The sequence below is a fragment of the Homo sapiens genome, chromosome 1 (genome assembly GCF_000001405.40).
Source record: "Homo sapiens chromosome 1, GRCh38.p14 Primary Assembly".
In the NCBI taxonomy this organism is placed as follows: Eukaryota; Metazoa; Chordata; class Mammalia; order Primates; family Hominidae; genus Homo; species Homo sapiens.
This window is the reverse complement of record NC_000001.11, coordinates 108,036,944-108,050,692: the sequence shown is the minus strand read 5'-3', so window position 1 is coordinate 108,050,692 and position 13,749 is coordinate 108,036,944.

Here is a 13,749-nt window from a genome sequence, read left to right as displayed (position 1 = left end):
GCATTTGGAGAATTTGTCTTTTAAGATTCTTCTTCATTAGATTAACACTACTCACATGACTGATTTGCAGACAATCCAGTCAACATTCTTCAACTTTTAAGGACAATTAAACATTAGCTATTGTAGATGGTGGACACTTAGAGGCTATGTGTCTTCGTCTTGACACGCTCAGTGCTGAACACCCTGACCTGGCTCATGAGGACGGTTCAATAAATGCTTCTTGAATTGAACTTGTGTTAGTATCTAAGTCCCCCTTCCCAGTGCATTTCAGTGGAGGGGTTGCTCTTGCCCTGTTTTTTTTCACCCTCTTCAGCCTGCTGCCTACTCATTTCCTATGCCTATTGCCTGGACACCGCCCTTCCTCTGCCAGAGCAGGCTTCTGCTTTCCACATAAGTACAGACAGAATCAGAGCACACTTGGCAATATCTGCATGCTGCTGGGTCCCACGACACAGAGACATGGTGAAGCCTAGTGACAATGAAATGAACAGTGTAAAGGAAGACTAACTAGGGAAAACATGTATCCAATGAAATCAACATTTACATTTTCCCTTTTTAATAAAAATTTTAAAACAAAAGGTAGGAGAGATTAATACAATGAACACTCATGTACCCATCATCCAGCTTCAACAACCATCAACATTTTTGCTAATTTGTTTTATTTATGAACTCTTCCAATTCTGTGTGTGTGTGTGAGAGAGAGAGAAACCAGTGAGACTTTGCCTTTACAGTGTCCTATATATTCCCCTATATTTAAGCAAAAATAAAATTTCATAAGGAAAAACGTTATTGTTGAGTCTTTTGTTGTGATGCCCTATTTTTAGGTCCTGGGACTACAGGTTCCAGAATGTTTCAATTAAATGCTAGTAATGCTGAAAACAGCCTTTTCCAAGGCCTCCTGTCCCCTGCATCAGTGGAGTTCAGCCACTTCCTTCTGTTTGATAGAATTCTTAGACGTGTCCCTGGTGGCTGCTGGTGGAACTCCTGCTGCTTTGTTGGTCTGCCTGCTGCTGGCACCCACACGCTGCAAGTACAAGCTTCCTTTGGTCATTTGAGACTATTGGAGCTCAAATTTTTCTTAATTGCTGTATTTTCAATGAATGTCCTTTTGTCGCAGTGCAATGACCCATTTTTTTTCAACCACAGAGCTGATGGAGCTGGGCTGCCAAGTCACATCGGGGAATGACTCAGAGAAGGGAGTAGTGGGCAGCAGCCCGCACACACTATAACTTGGGCAGTGCTCATTTTTATGGAGCACTTTCATTTGATTTTGTTCTGTTACTGATGCCATTGAGAAAGATGAGGTGATATCATCTGTTTTGATTTACATGCTCATAAAATAATGAAAAATAAAATGAAGTCCAGAAAATTACCAAACCATCTCATGAAAATTACTCCTTGACCAAATGCCATTCCATGATTCCCATGATTAAGCAACGGAATTTGAATGAATCAGAAGAGAATAAGCCTTGTTTTCATTATATACATGGGGGCATGTTTGCCCCCAGGTCCTTCCCTTGTCCTTCTTTGCAGGCTGTATTTCCCTCACTTCTCTGCCACTTAGCTTCCTGTTGGGTTCAGCTAGTGGCAAGATTGAAGTACAGGAGGAAGGGGTGAGCCGGATGGATCCATTTCCTATTGTTGCTGTACCAAATTACCACAAACTTAATGGCTTAAACAACACAAATGTATTATCTTATAGTTTTGGCAGTCAGAAATCTGAAATAAGTCCTATGAGACTAAGAGTGTCAGCAGAGCTGCATTCCTTCTGGAGGCTCTAGGGCAGAACCCATTTCCTTTCCTTGTCCAACACCTAGGGGCTGTCTGCATTCCTTGGCTTGTGACCACATCACTCTAACTTCTGCACATTGTCTTCTCTAATTCTGACCCTCCTTCCTCCCCTCTTATAAGGACACTTGTGATTACATTGGTCCTACCCCAAAAATGTGGGATAAGCTCCCCATCAGAAGAGCCTTAACCTAATCACATCTGAAAAGCCCCTTTTGCCGTGTAAGATAACATATTCACAGGTGCCAGAGATTAGAATGTGGACGTCTTGAGGGGGAGATTATCCTCCTTACCACACCAGGTATTTCTCCTCCTCCATGTTCAATGTCACCTGGGCCCTTGGTCTCTGGTAAGTCTCCTCCTTTCTTGTGCTTATAGCCTAGGGGTGGCAGTGGCTTCCTACTATTGCCAACCTCTGGGTTGCCTCACTGTTCCCAGTTGGCTAATCTGCTTCTTTTGTCACCCGTGTAACAAATTCCCTGCATCACATTTCCTTTGTTTGAAAGGCTGAAAGTTTTCTGCTTTCCTGGTTTGGCTCTGATGAGATGAAGTGAGGTGATGATGCCGGGGTACTGGTGGTCTCCACTGGAGATTGGGGAGGGGAACACATGTGGCACCTCAGACTGTTGGGAAGTTATGTCAGGATTAACAGAGGCCCAGCCCTCCCTTTGACAAGAGCTCTTTCCCTCTCTTGCCCTCTCAGGCCAGGATGTACAAGCAAGGCAGAGCTGTCAGAAGGAGGGCTAAGGGTGAACCATCTGAGGTACACCACGACTCGAATTTAGACCTGTTCAGCATCTTAATGCAGGTAGAAATAATTCTCTCACTGAAGATTCTGTACAATGCTAAAAGACAATTAAAGAGAACCTGGCAAAAGCTTTTGTGGGAAGAGGCTTGACTTCCCAATGGAATACTTGAATTTAAGTTCTTCCATTTACCCTCTGCATGGTCTTGAACAAATCGTCTAGTCCTTCAGCCTTGAGTCTTCATATGTTAAAATAGGACAATCATACTTAACTTAAAGGTTTGATAAAGATTAAATGAAGACTGCATAAAGATTAAATGAAGCAATATATGGGGAAGTACTGAACAGACATACATCTTCTATTGGTTAAGGAATTCTAGAAATACTTATTGAGCACCTAACCATGGGCTGGATACTGTGCTAAGTCCTTGCTGTCCTGGAGTTTTTAGTCTATTGGGAAGACAGGCATTATTCAGAGTCACTCTAGTGCATCGCCATTACAGACACAGCTTCAAAGGGAAGGCTGTTTGAGGATGTATGAAAAAGGAAACCTGACTTTAGCCAGAGGCTCAGGAAAGCTCGTGTCCCCCTCCCCAGTCTCCGGTGGAGACCACCAGTACCCAGGCATCATCCCCTCACCTCATCATTCGGGGCCAAACCGGGAAAACAGAAAACTTTCAGCCTTTCAAGCAAAGAGAATGTGATGCAGGGAATTTGTTACACAGGTGACAAAAGAAGCAGATTAGCCAACCGGGGGACAGTGAAGCAACCCAGAAGATGAGCGGGACTTATCTAGGCAAAGGGATGGGGAACAGCAGGTACAAAGGACGGCTCATGTTGTATTAAAGATCTGAAATAAGCTGACATGGCTGGATCCCAAAGAGCAAGAAGAAAGCAGTGCAAGATGAGGCTGATGGGGTGAGCAGTGCCGGACATGAAGGGCTTTGTAGGGAGTTTGCTTTTATGCTAAGAGCCAGTGGGAGCTGCTGAAGGATTTTAGGGAGTGTGTCCGTGCATGTGTGTGTGTGTGTGTGTATGTATTGGTGACAGGAGATACACTGTCACTGTGACTTAGCAGATCACCACTCTGGCCACTGCATGGAGAACAGATTGGAGAGGGGTGAGAGGATGAGGGAGACCAGGTGGGAAGGGCTGGCTGTGGCATTGGTTGGAGCCTGGATGGTAGCTCGAAGTAGGGAATGTGGAGGCTGAGGGTGAAGGAGAAGGCTATCCAGGGTGAATAGTTGTGCTGTTCTTAGAGGAAAAGAGCATTGGAGAGGACCTGGATTGGAAAGGGACAATCATGAATTTGGTGTTGGACATGCTGAGGTTGAGGAGCTTTAGAGATACCCAAGGGGAGATGTTCCATTAGGAGAGGTCTTCCCTGCAGTTAGAACTTTGTACATCATGGGCTTATCCATAATAACTAAATACTTGGGTACAGATGCGATCATCTTCCAGACAAGCTCATGTGTCCTGAAGGCATATTCTGTGCCAGTCACAATTCTAAGTACTTTATTTGCGTTAACTCATTTAGTCTCCATAACTAGCTTTTGAGATATTTCCTTCATTTTGCAGATGAGGAAACTGAGACAACAGAGAGCTTCCATAACTCACTCCAGGTCAAACCAGGATCCAAACTCAGGCTGGCTCCAGGTCCCACCTCACCACACTCCCTGTCTGTTTCTCTGTCAGGGCTAATAGCTCACTCCTAGGACACAGGCAAGTTCTAATACATGGACTTTGTTGCAGAGCTGTGCCATTCATTTTCAGGGGTTGCAGGAGATGTTGGTGTTTCTAGTTGCCATGGCTTGCATAATATACATTCCTCACCTGCTGGAATCCTACTGCCCTGAGTTGCAGCTGCCAGCAGCTGCAGAATGAACACATACCAGCAGCAAGGCAAAGCACATGGAGAAGAGAGCAGGAATGAAGACAGGCACGCAGCGATGATCCTTTCAAGCAAAAACATGTTTGAAATGCCTTCAGGTGACCAGAGGGTTCTGTGTCTTTCCACAGGGAGGCTGACCCCACAATCAAGGTAACCACTGTTTATAATAAAAACTGTGGTCATTGAAGTTTACAAAGCAGGGATACTTAGCTTTAAAGTCACTCAGTAAGCTGTCTGCATTTAACCTAGAGGCTGGGAAAGTTGTGTTGCCACAGGGAAAAGTCTCACCAACTTTAAAACCCTAACAATGTGTTAGTGCAGCACGGCACCTTCAATAGGCAACTGCCTACAGCTGAATGAGTGTAGGTCCACGCCCCAAAGGGAAGGTGGAGGATGAGCCTAGGGTAAATTATATAAACTGTGAATCGGAGATTCATAGAGACGGGTTCCATGAGTGTAATGTGCTTTATCATAAGCAGGGTTGTGTCCTTTCCTGGAGTGTTGTTGCAGCTGGTAACCGTTCAGGCAAAGGCAGCTTAATGCCCCATAAAATGATTAGATAAGGATGAAGGTGGGATCAGTTTTGTCAGTCCTGTCACACAGCTGAAGAACATTAAATACAGCACACGGTGTGCAGGCTGCCGTCGCAAAGCATTCCATTTGCCCTGCATGCTTAGAGATGCATAGTGAGCCGCCTAACTTTACAAGGAACAGAACTGTGTCACCCTTTTCCTGTCTGTCATATGCCCTTTATCTTTGCCATTGGTATGTCTCACTGCCTTACAGCTACCTGCTTTTTTGCCATTGCTGAGCCGTTTGCTTAAGAAATGATTCCAGGGCCCAGAAGGCAGTTGGAACACAGGGAGCTCATTCATTGCAACAAAAGTTGAACACCTACTATGTGCTCATTACAAGAGGAACTTCAATGAAGAAGGGAGAGGTCTGCCTTCCTGGGCCTGGGGTCTGGTGGGGGAGATTGTCAGTGATAAACCTAAGGTGCACTGTGACTGGGGACATGACATACTAAAGTGGTGGCATTTCACATGCGTCCGGAAAAACAGGTAGAATTCTGAGAGGGGACACCAGAGGAGGTGGATATTCCAGGTAGAGGAAAAAACTCAGTTGGTTTCTCCCTAATAGAGGAAAGGTCTTTCCGATAACATGAGCTGTCCCTAGACAAGGTGGGTTGTCTTGTGAAGGAGTGAGTTTTGGTGGCATTTACATAAAGAATAGAAGACCACATGTTAAAGGGACTGCCATTCTGAGATTTGACTTTATAGACTGCAGAAAGTTTCCTCTTACTCAAAGGTTGTATTTTTCAAGCCCTTCAAATGGATTTTTTTTTCTTCTGAGGATTTTTTAGCTTGCTAAGCAGTTGTTGAAGATAAATATGCAGACAAAGATAATTTAAGAGTTCAAAAGTTTTCTATTCCGTATTGGGAGACTACATGGATATTTAGTAGCCTCTAAATATAGTGCTCTATCCTCCTGCTTGGCATGAGAGTAACATCAAGAGAAAGACTGAGATAATATTTAGTTTCTGACATGTAAATAGGATCCCAGCTGCAGGAGAAAGGCTTTGCTACGTTCCTTTGGCTACTGCCCTCTCTTGCATATTACAGCCAAGCCTGGATGACCTCCACCATAGAGTTCTCTTTGGTGTAGAGAAGATGCTCATTCCGTCTTTAACAGCAAAGCATGGAGACTGTTGCTCAGCAGGTGCAGGGGTATGTATATGACAAAAGGAAGCAAAATAAAAACTCACTCTCTGTCTCAGAGGAAGTGGGACAGAGAGGAGAGGGAAAGGAAGAAAGTGAAAGAATTAAATGTAGGCCCCAATTTACTGTGCATTTTACAAGTTGAGGGAGCAAACAGCCTCCAGGAAGCTTTTACTCCCCACCTCCAACTCTCATTTGGGAACCCTGGGAGGACACTTCTGTGCACAGTGGGGCAGCCTAGTGATTAGGAAGGGGAAGCTGAGTGGTCCTATGAGACCCAGAAAAAGGTCTGGTTGTCATTTTCTAGACACCCCTCCATTCCTAAGGTGTTCATACTGAGTTAAAAGCCGTCAAGTCTGTAATAGGGTTTGTAATGGTGGGTCAAGGTAATTTGGCAGCAAAGCCATGGGCAGGCTGTAGGCCAGGGCTGAATGGGGTCTGTGGCAACTGCATAGGGGTAGTTGGCCATCAGAAGCTGAGTCAAAGCCTCGAGGCCTATTTAGTCAAGGAGGCTCAGGATCACCGAGCCAAGAGATGAGATTGAGCTAAAGTAGTGGTATCCTGCATCAGTGGATGCTAGCAAGACAGAGCAGTTTGGGGTTTACTCCAGAGACCAGAGGAGGAGGCCATTACCATGCTTGCGAGCACTTCCTCTTTTTTGCTGCCAAAAAGTCATGCGGGATGTCCTGATATACCGCACTGCCGTTCTAATGACAAAAGCAGGGGAAGGGGAACTATGTGAGAGATTTAACACTTTTATTTAAGAAGACTGAATATTACCTAAATTATGATTGCAGACTAATCTTTAAATCGATCGAAGAGTAAGTTAATCTTTTCCCCACTAGTCAGTATAGTAAGACTAGAGGATTGAGAGGCTGAATGAAGCCATTAGAGTTATTTGTACATACGAGTTGTAAAGTGAGTTAAAGTTTGTGATCCCTACTGAATATAATTTTCCATTGAGTGACTAAAGCATAATGAATTTACCTATTTCCCTCTGGCTGAAGTATAAGGTTTTCTAGTTTTTTGATTATAAGGAATTTTATATGAACATCGATGTACATGTTCACACAGTACACAGTAGTCACCAAATAAATAGCCCGTCAGTGAGATTTGAAATGAAATTGTCACTGGAAATGTGGAATGGCTTATGTATGTGATCTGAGCTTCCATATAGCAAGGCAGTACTTTGCTTCTTGTGGCAGAAGATGTGCCCCTGATAGCATGGATTGGTAAGAGAAAGCGTAACAGAAGAGATCATCAACTGTCTCTGCATTCGAAATCAACAGAAAGTTTGAAGTGTAGGAAAAAGAGAAAAGAAGGAAAAGTTCAAAGAATATGGTGGAAGACTACAGTCCACATCTGAGAAGTGACCATGATATTTTTAGGAATGGGGATATCAATCATGGAATTTTAAGTTACATGTGATGTGTACCTTGTCATTGCCAATCTTTGAGAAGGTCTTCTATTCATATAAATACCTCAGAAATTGTTTCATTTTGTTGGTTTGTTGGTTGATAATGGTGAAAATCAGAAGAAAAGGCTGAATTCAATATTCAGGTCAATATGATGAGGAATTTGAACCACACAATGTGATGATCAATCATGATCTCTAAAACAAGTATTTCAGTGTAAGCGAGAGCTCAGAGCTGAAAGTGACTATAAGAGGTTCAAATCCCTGTGGCCCCAGGAACTCATCATCCAGTGGAAAAGGAAAAGGGGGCTTCCCCTCACTTGTTTTGGAGATCCCCCACCCTCCAGTGTCCTCTGTGGTAGAACACACACATCATCCAACTATAGAAGGATAAAAACAATAGCATAGTGGAGAGAGCTCATGGGAGAAACTATGTACTGTATAAGGATAAAATTACAATATCTTATATAATTTATTTTTGGTAGCATAACTTATTAGGCCTTAGACTGGGCCTGGTGGCTCATGCCTGTAATCCCAGCACTTTAGGAGGCCGAGGCAAGCAGATTGCTTGAGCTCAGCAGTTCAAGACCAGCCCGGACAACATGGCAAAATCCCATCTCTACAAAAAATACAAAAATTAGCCAGATGTGGTGATGCATGCCTGAAGTCCTGGCTACTCAGGAGGCTGAGGTGGGAGAATCATTTGAGCCCAGGAGATCAAGCCTGCAGTCAGTGATCATACCACTGCACTCCAACCTGCGTGACAAAGAGAGACCCTGTCTCAAAAAAAAAAAAAAAAAGAAAGAAAGAAAGAAAGAAAAAAGAAAATAAAAAAAAAGTTAATAGGCCAATTAGGTCTTCCAGGACTGCTATTTTCTCCTTATTTCTGTACCTAGTCTGGGCTATTTTAACCCATTCTCCTCAGGGAAGAGACATACATTTTGTGGAGGTCTTGGATCTACTTCTTGGTTCTAGATCGAAACTGGTCTCACAGATATTCAAACCTCACAAAATTTTCTCAGTTTAGAAACTTCCCTTAACAAGTTATTTTCTTTCCCATCACTCACCCTATATTTGACAGAACAGCCCCATGTGATCTCTATCTTATGTATTTGAGCCCTTTCTAGAGGTTTTGCTTTGGTCACTTAACATATCCCTTTTATGGTGGCCCCATGAATCACTTGCCTGCCCTCCCACCCTCTATTTTCTCACCTTTCTGTTTCCTCTTTGTGTTTCATTTCCTCTCAGTTTTGCTTAGGCTCTTTGCTCACCATCCTCGAGGCAGGAGCTCAAGTCTGCTTGTCTCATATCTGTGTTCGTTATCAGCGCAGTAAAGCCCGTAATTGAGCTTACAATCTTCTTCATAGTAAAAATGGCTTACAATGTAGTACGCAAGTGTCTGGGGAGACAGATTTCCCTTGAAGCATCTTAAAAATCGAAAAGTAGGGAAGTCATCACATTCTATGATTAATGGAGTCTGAACAGGGCTGTCAAAGCAGGCTGAAATATTGCCCAAAAGAGGAGATTACAGATTAGCACACAAAAAGCAGTAAGCTTAGTTTAAAAAATGACTAAATTTTATTAACTGCTGATGTTCCTTAAGCAGAATTTCTGGAGCCAGAGTAAACTTCAAATTCCTTTCCTCTTGCCTGAAGCATCAACTGTACTTGGCAGAGCAGGCTGCGAGTTAAAGCCCCTGCCTGGTCCAGCCAAATGCCTTCCCTGTGCCAAAAGCCTGGAGTTGAAAGTAACCTGACAACTCTACTGCAAGCAATCCGAAGCTTGGCATAATTGTATACCACGGGGCTCTTGGGAGACTGATGATAAGCCCAATGGCAGACCACCCCTGCCTTCCTAAAGGGGCAGCATGGAAAGAAAGAATATGTAAAGGGAGGTGGGAAAGGAAAACACAATATAAAGCCCTCCTTGTTGCTTTCACCTTCAGAAATCAGCGCTTGGTGGATGTTTGGAGGGTGGGAGTGGAGAGGTGGACAGAAAAAACCCACAATGACTCTGTAGAGCAAGAATCCATAGGAAATTTTCTTGCATTGAGACCCCTCTGCTATGTTAAATTCAAAGGAGTGTTGCTCAACTGGTGAACTTTTTTCCCTTCTTTCTTTCTTCTATCCCAGTGCCCCATATGTTTAGTGAATGGAATGAAACCTTTTTATTTCACTGTACTTTAGTGTTTTAGGTAATGTTTAATATCTGATGATAATAAGATCAAGCTGTAGACAGACAGGACATGATACATTAATAATCTATTTTATGGCACACAGCATCTCATGTTATCACAACCACCAGTTGTGAGGTAAACAGGGCAGATATTATTCCATTCCATTCTACAGATGAGGAAACTGAGGCCCAGCGACTCACTTGCTCAAGTTTAAACAGCCACAAGCAGTGAAATTGAGGCTCACATTTTCAGATTTGGAAGCACTTGCTTTTTCTACTGTTAAATCTCTGTTCACATAGGCTTTTAGCACCATGTAACAAGGATTTAATTATATGAACTCTCTTCTTAACCTTAGTTTGTATTTGTCTTAGTGTAGAATGTATACATGTCTGGATTTTTTTCCTGTGAATGTGAAATTGGCATTGAGCAATTATTTAATAAACATGGCAAAGATCTGATAGGGTCGGACATTAAGCTTAACCCTGGAACTACTAAAGACCAAAAAGATGCAGCCTCTGACATGAATTTTGTTTATCCTAGAAGATATGGCCATAGAAATTATAAAATAATTCAATGGGTACCTTAGACACATGTGAACAAGAAGATGTGGAAACATTGAAGAAACAGCATCTAGTTCTGCTTGAGAGACTTGAAGGTGGAGTTGATATCAACACTTTGTCTTCAAGGAGAGAGGTCTACCAGGCAAAGGAGGGAAAAAGTATTATATTCCAGGGAAAGGACCCAGCATATGCATAACACAAAGTGGGCAATGTGCACTGTGGGTGTGGAGCATGGTGTATGCGGTAGGGAGGCGGGGCTGGGTAGGGGCTGGCTTGTAAGTTCTCTGTAGACCAAGCTAAGCAATTTGTTTTTTGTCATGAAGGCAAGAGGGGACCCCCGGAGGATTGTAAACAGGTAATTTGACATACAGAGGAAGATTCAACAAAAGGAGTACTTTGATATAAACCTTTTGGAACTCAGTGTTAACTTGGAAAATGAGTTTTCATACATCTGGATCAATGGTTCTCAAACTTCAGTGTGCACCAGAATTACCTGGAGTGTTGTTAAAACACAGATTGCTGGACCCCGTCCCAGAATTGCTGATTCAGTAATGCTGGGGTGGGGTTGGAGAATTTGCATACCTAACAAGCTCCCAGGTGACACTGATGCTGCGAGTCCAGGGTCACATTTTGAGAACTACTGCTCTAGAGCTTTTGGGAAGGCCTCTGCCTGGGCAGGACATAGAAAGAGCGGCTCCACAATGAGAACACCTGGACACAGGAAGGGGAACATCACACACCGGGGCCTGTGGTGGGGTGAGGGGAGGAGGGAGGGATAGCATTAGGAGATACACCTAATGTAAATGACGAGTTAATGGGTGCAGCACACCAACATGGCACATGTATACATATGTAACAAAACTGCACATTGTGCACATGTACCCTAGAACTTAAAGTATAATAAAAAAAAAGAAAGAGCATCTCTAAATTATTAATAAAGCAAACTTGACACAAGAGGTTTTAGGCATTTGAGATACGATAAAGCTTTTCTTTAAAAAGTCTTAACAAAGGGTTGTAATCATCATCTAATAATATGAAAAATGTATGTATTTGTGAGGCACTGTGCTAACAGCTGTGCATAGGAAGCTAACTGAACATGGCTCGTCACTCAGGAGCTCCTGATAATGCCCTGGAGAAGGTTGGGACAGATAACTGGCCATTCTGCATTTTACAGCTAGTGGGGCTTCTACTGTTTTTGTTCCAGAAAAGACAGAAAACAACTGCTGCTGAGACAGAAGTGGTCATGCATTCTAAGATTTTCACCAAAATTATTCTGTCATGTTGGTACAATTTTGGGAGAAGGGAGGAAGTATGCAGCAATCACGGACCATCTCATTATGTGACCAAATCGTCTCATGACTGCGAATCATCTGACAATTAATTGGGTGGAAACAGAAAGAATACCGGGAGCTGAGTAAAAATAGGAACACCGTCTGGAGTGGGGAACGGAATCATGTCATGAATGTAAGACAATGTAGGGCCCTTTGTTTGTTTGTAAAGTAGTTGTCTCTGTAGAATCTTCTCTTTAAACCCCTTCTCTAGGATGTAGCATCCTTTGTCTTGGCTGTAGACAGCCTCTGAATGTGACATCAATGAGTTTCAGCCAAGCCTTCCAACATCAGCCGTGACTGACCGTCTCTGACCTTCAGTCTGCACTCCCATTCTGGGGAGTCTGTTTCATGAAATATTGATAGAGGAGTTTACTCCAGAGCAATGTATACAGAATGAATGATGTTTCTTTGACCTGTTAAGCCATCTTCCTGCTTTAAAGGTTGTGAGGCAAAAAATAGCAAATAAAAAGGAGCTGTTCTTAGGAAGAGTACTCACTTGATTGGTACTCGTGCTGAAATATGCAAGACAGATTTTAGACCTCTCTTCTGGTAAGTAGTACTAAACCAGCACTTCCCAATATAACACCTCAAAGCTCTGGCCTGGGCTGTGTTCTATTTTCACTACATAGGAAGACACCATTTTTCACCTGGATTACAGTCAGTTAATATCTAATGCATCTGTCCCTGTTCACCGTTGTCTCCCTTCCATTCTTTTTAGAGCAGTGGTTTTCCACTGGTGTGCTCAGGCATACAGGTGGACTGAAACCCATTATGGGTATAAAGCCACATTTTGATTAGCAGATGAAAATAGTTTTGGCTACAACTAAGTATAATGGTAACAACAGCAGCAGCGGCGGCAACAACAACTAACATTTATATAACCTTTACTGGGTGCCCAGCACTACTCTGAGCACTTAGCCTAGATTAATGTATGAAATCCTCATAAGGGACCTAACAGAATACATTCTGTTGTTAGTCCCATTTTCAGATGAGAAAACTGAAGTGGCAGAGAGAGGGCAACTAAGTTGCCTAAGGGTCCAGGAAGAGTAAGTTGCAGAGCCCGGCTTCAGAATTTGTGCTCTGGAGGCACTCTTAAAATGAAATCAATGCTGTTTCATCTCCATGTTCACTGAGCCAATTGCAGCTCATCCTTCAAAGTCCAGCTCAACTGTCTTCTTTGCAACTTTCCCTGCTTCCTTCAACTTCTCTCCAGAAGAAGGAATTGCTCCTGTATCTGTGCTCTCAAAGCACTTCATATACACCCTAATCATATGCTTATCCCACCACCGATGTTGTTGATGTATTAATCTTTCTGCTATTTTGGGAGCTCCACAAGCCTGTGATTTATTCATGCCTATGTCCTTCCATCTCCTATAAGGTCTAAAGGACCGGTGTTATGTAATTTCTGTTGTTGAATTGAAAGTAGAAATTATGATCTTTTATGTATACTTTGTAGAAGAAAATTATATCTCATTTCAAACATATTTGAAATCTGACCACTTGAATTCTGAATTCTATTTCATGCGGTTATGCAAAAAATATTAACAGAATGCCTAAGATATTGTTGGATGCTGTGCTAGGTCTAGGGATACAACAGGGAACAAGGCAGACAGAGTCCCTGCCTTATAGGCCTCAGAGATTGGTGAGGGAGGAATATGGTGCCAAGTACTGAATATGGTAATAACACGTAGTTTAGGAAATAGCCTGGCCTGAAGGGCTGAAAAGATTTCCCTGAGTTAATGACATCTAAACAGAGAACAAGGAGTGACTAACAATTAGTCAAGTAAAGAATGGAGAGAATTATATTCTGAGCTCTGACTTGCTTATAAAAAGGCAACATTCTCACCCATTCTGCAGATCCTAATAGTTTTTCAAGCTTCAGATAAAATTCTGCTTTCTCCAAATACTTTATCTGAATATTTTAGCTTTATAACATCTTTTCTCTTAACAACTGCCTTCGATAATGTTTTAAAAGAAGTGTGAACCTCAGGAATGTGTCCCACATTGAGAACACTGAGTTATTTCATTGAATCTTGAAAACAACCTTGTGAGTTAATTATTAGTATCTTGCCTTTCCAGATGAGAAAACTGAGGCTTGGTGAGCTTGAATGCTTTTCCTAATACCT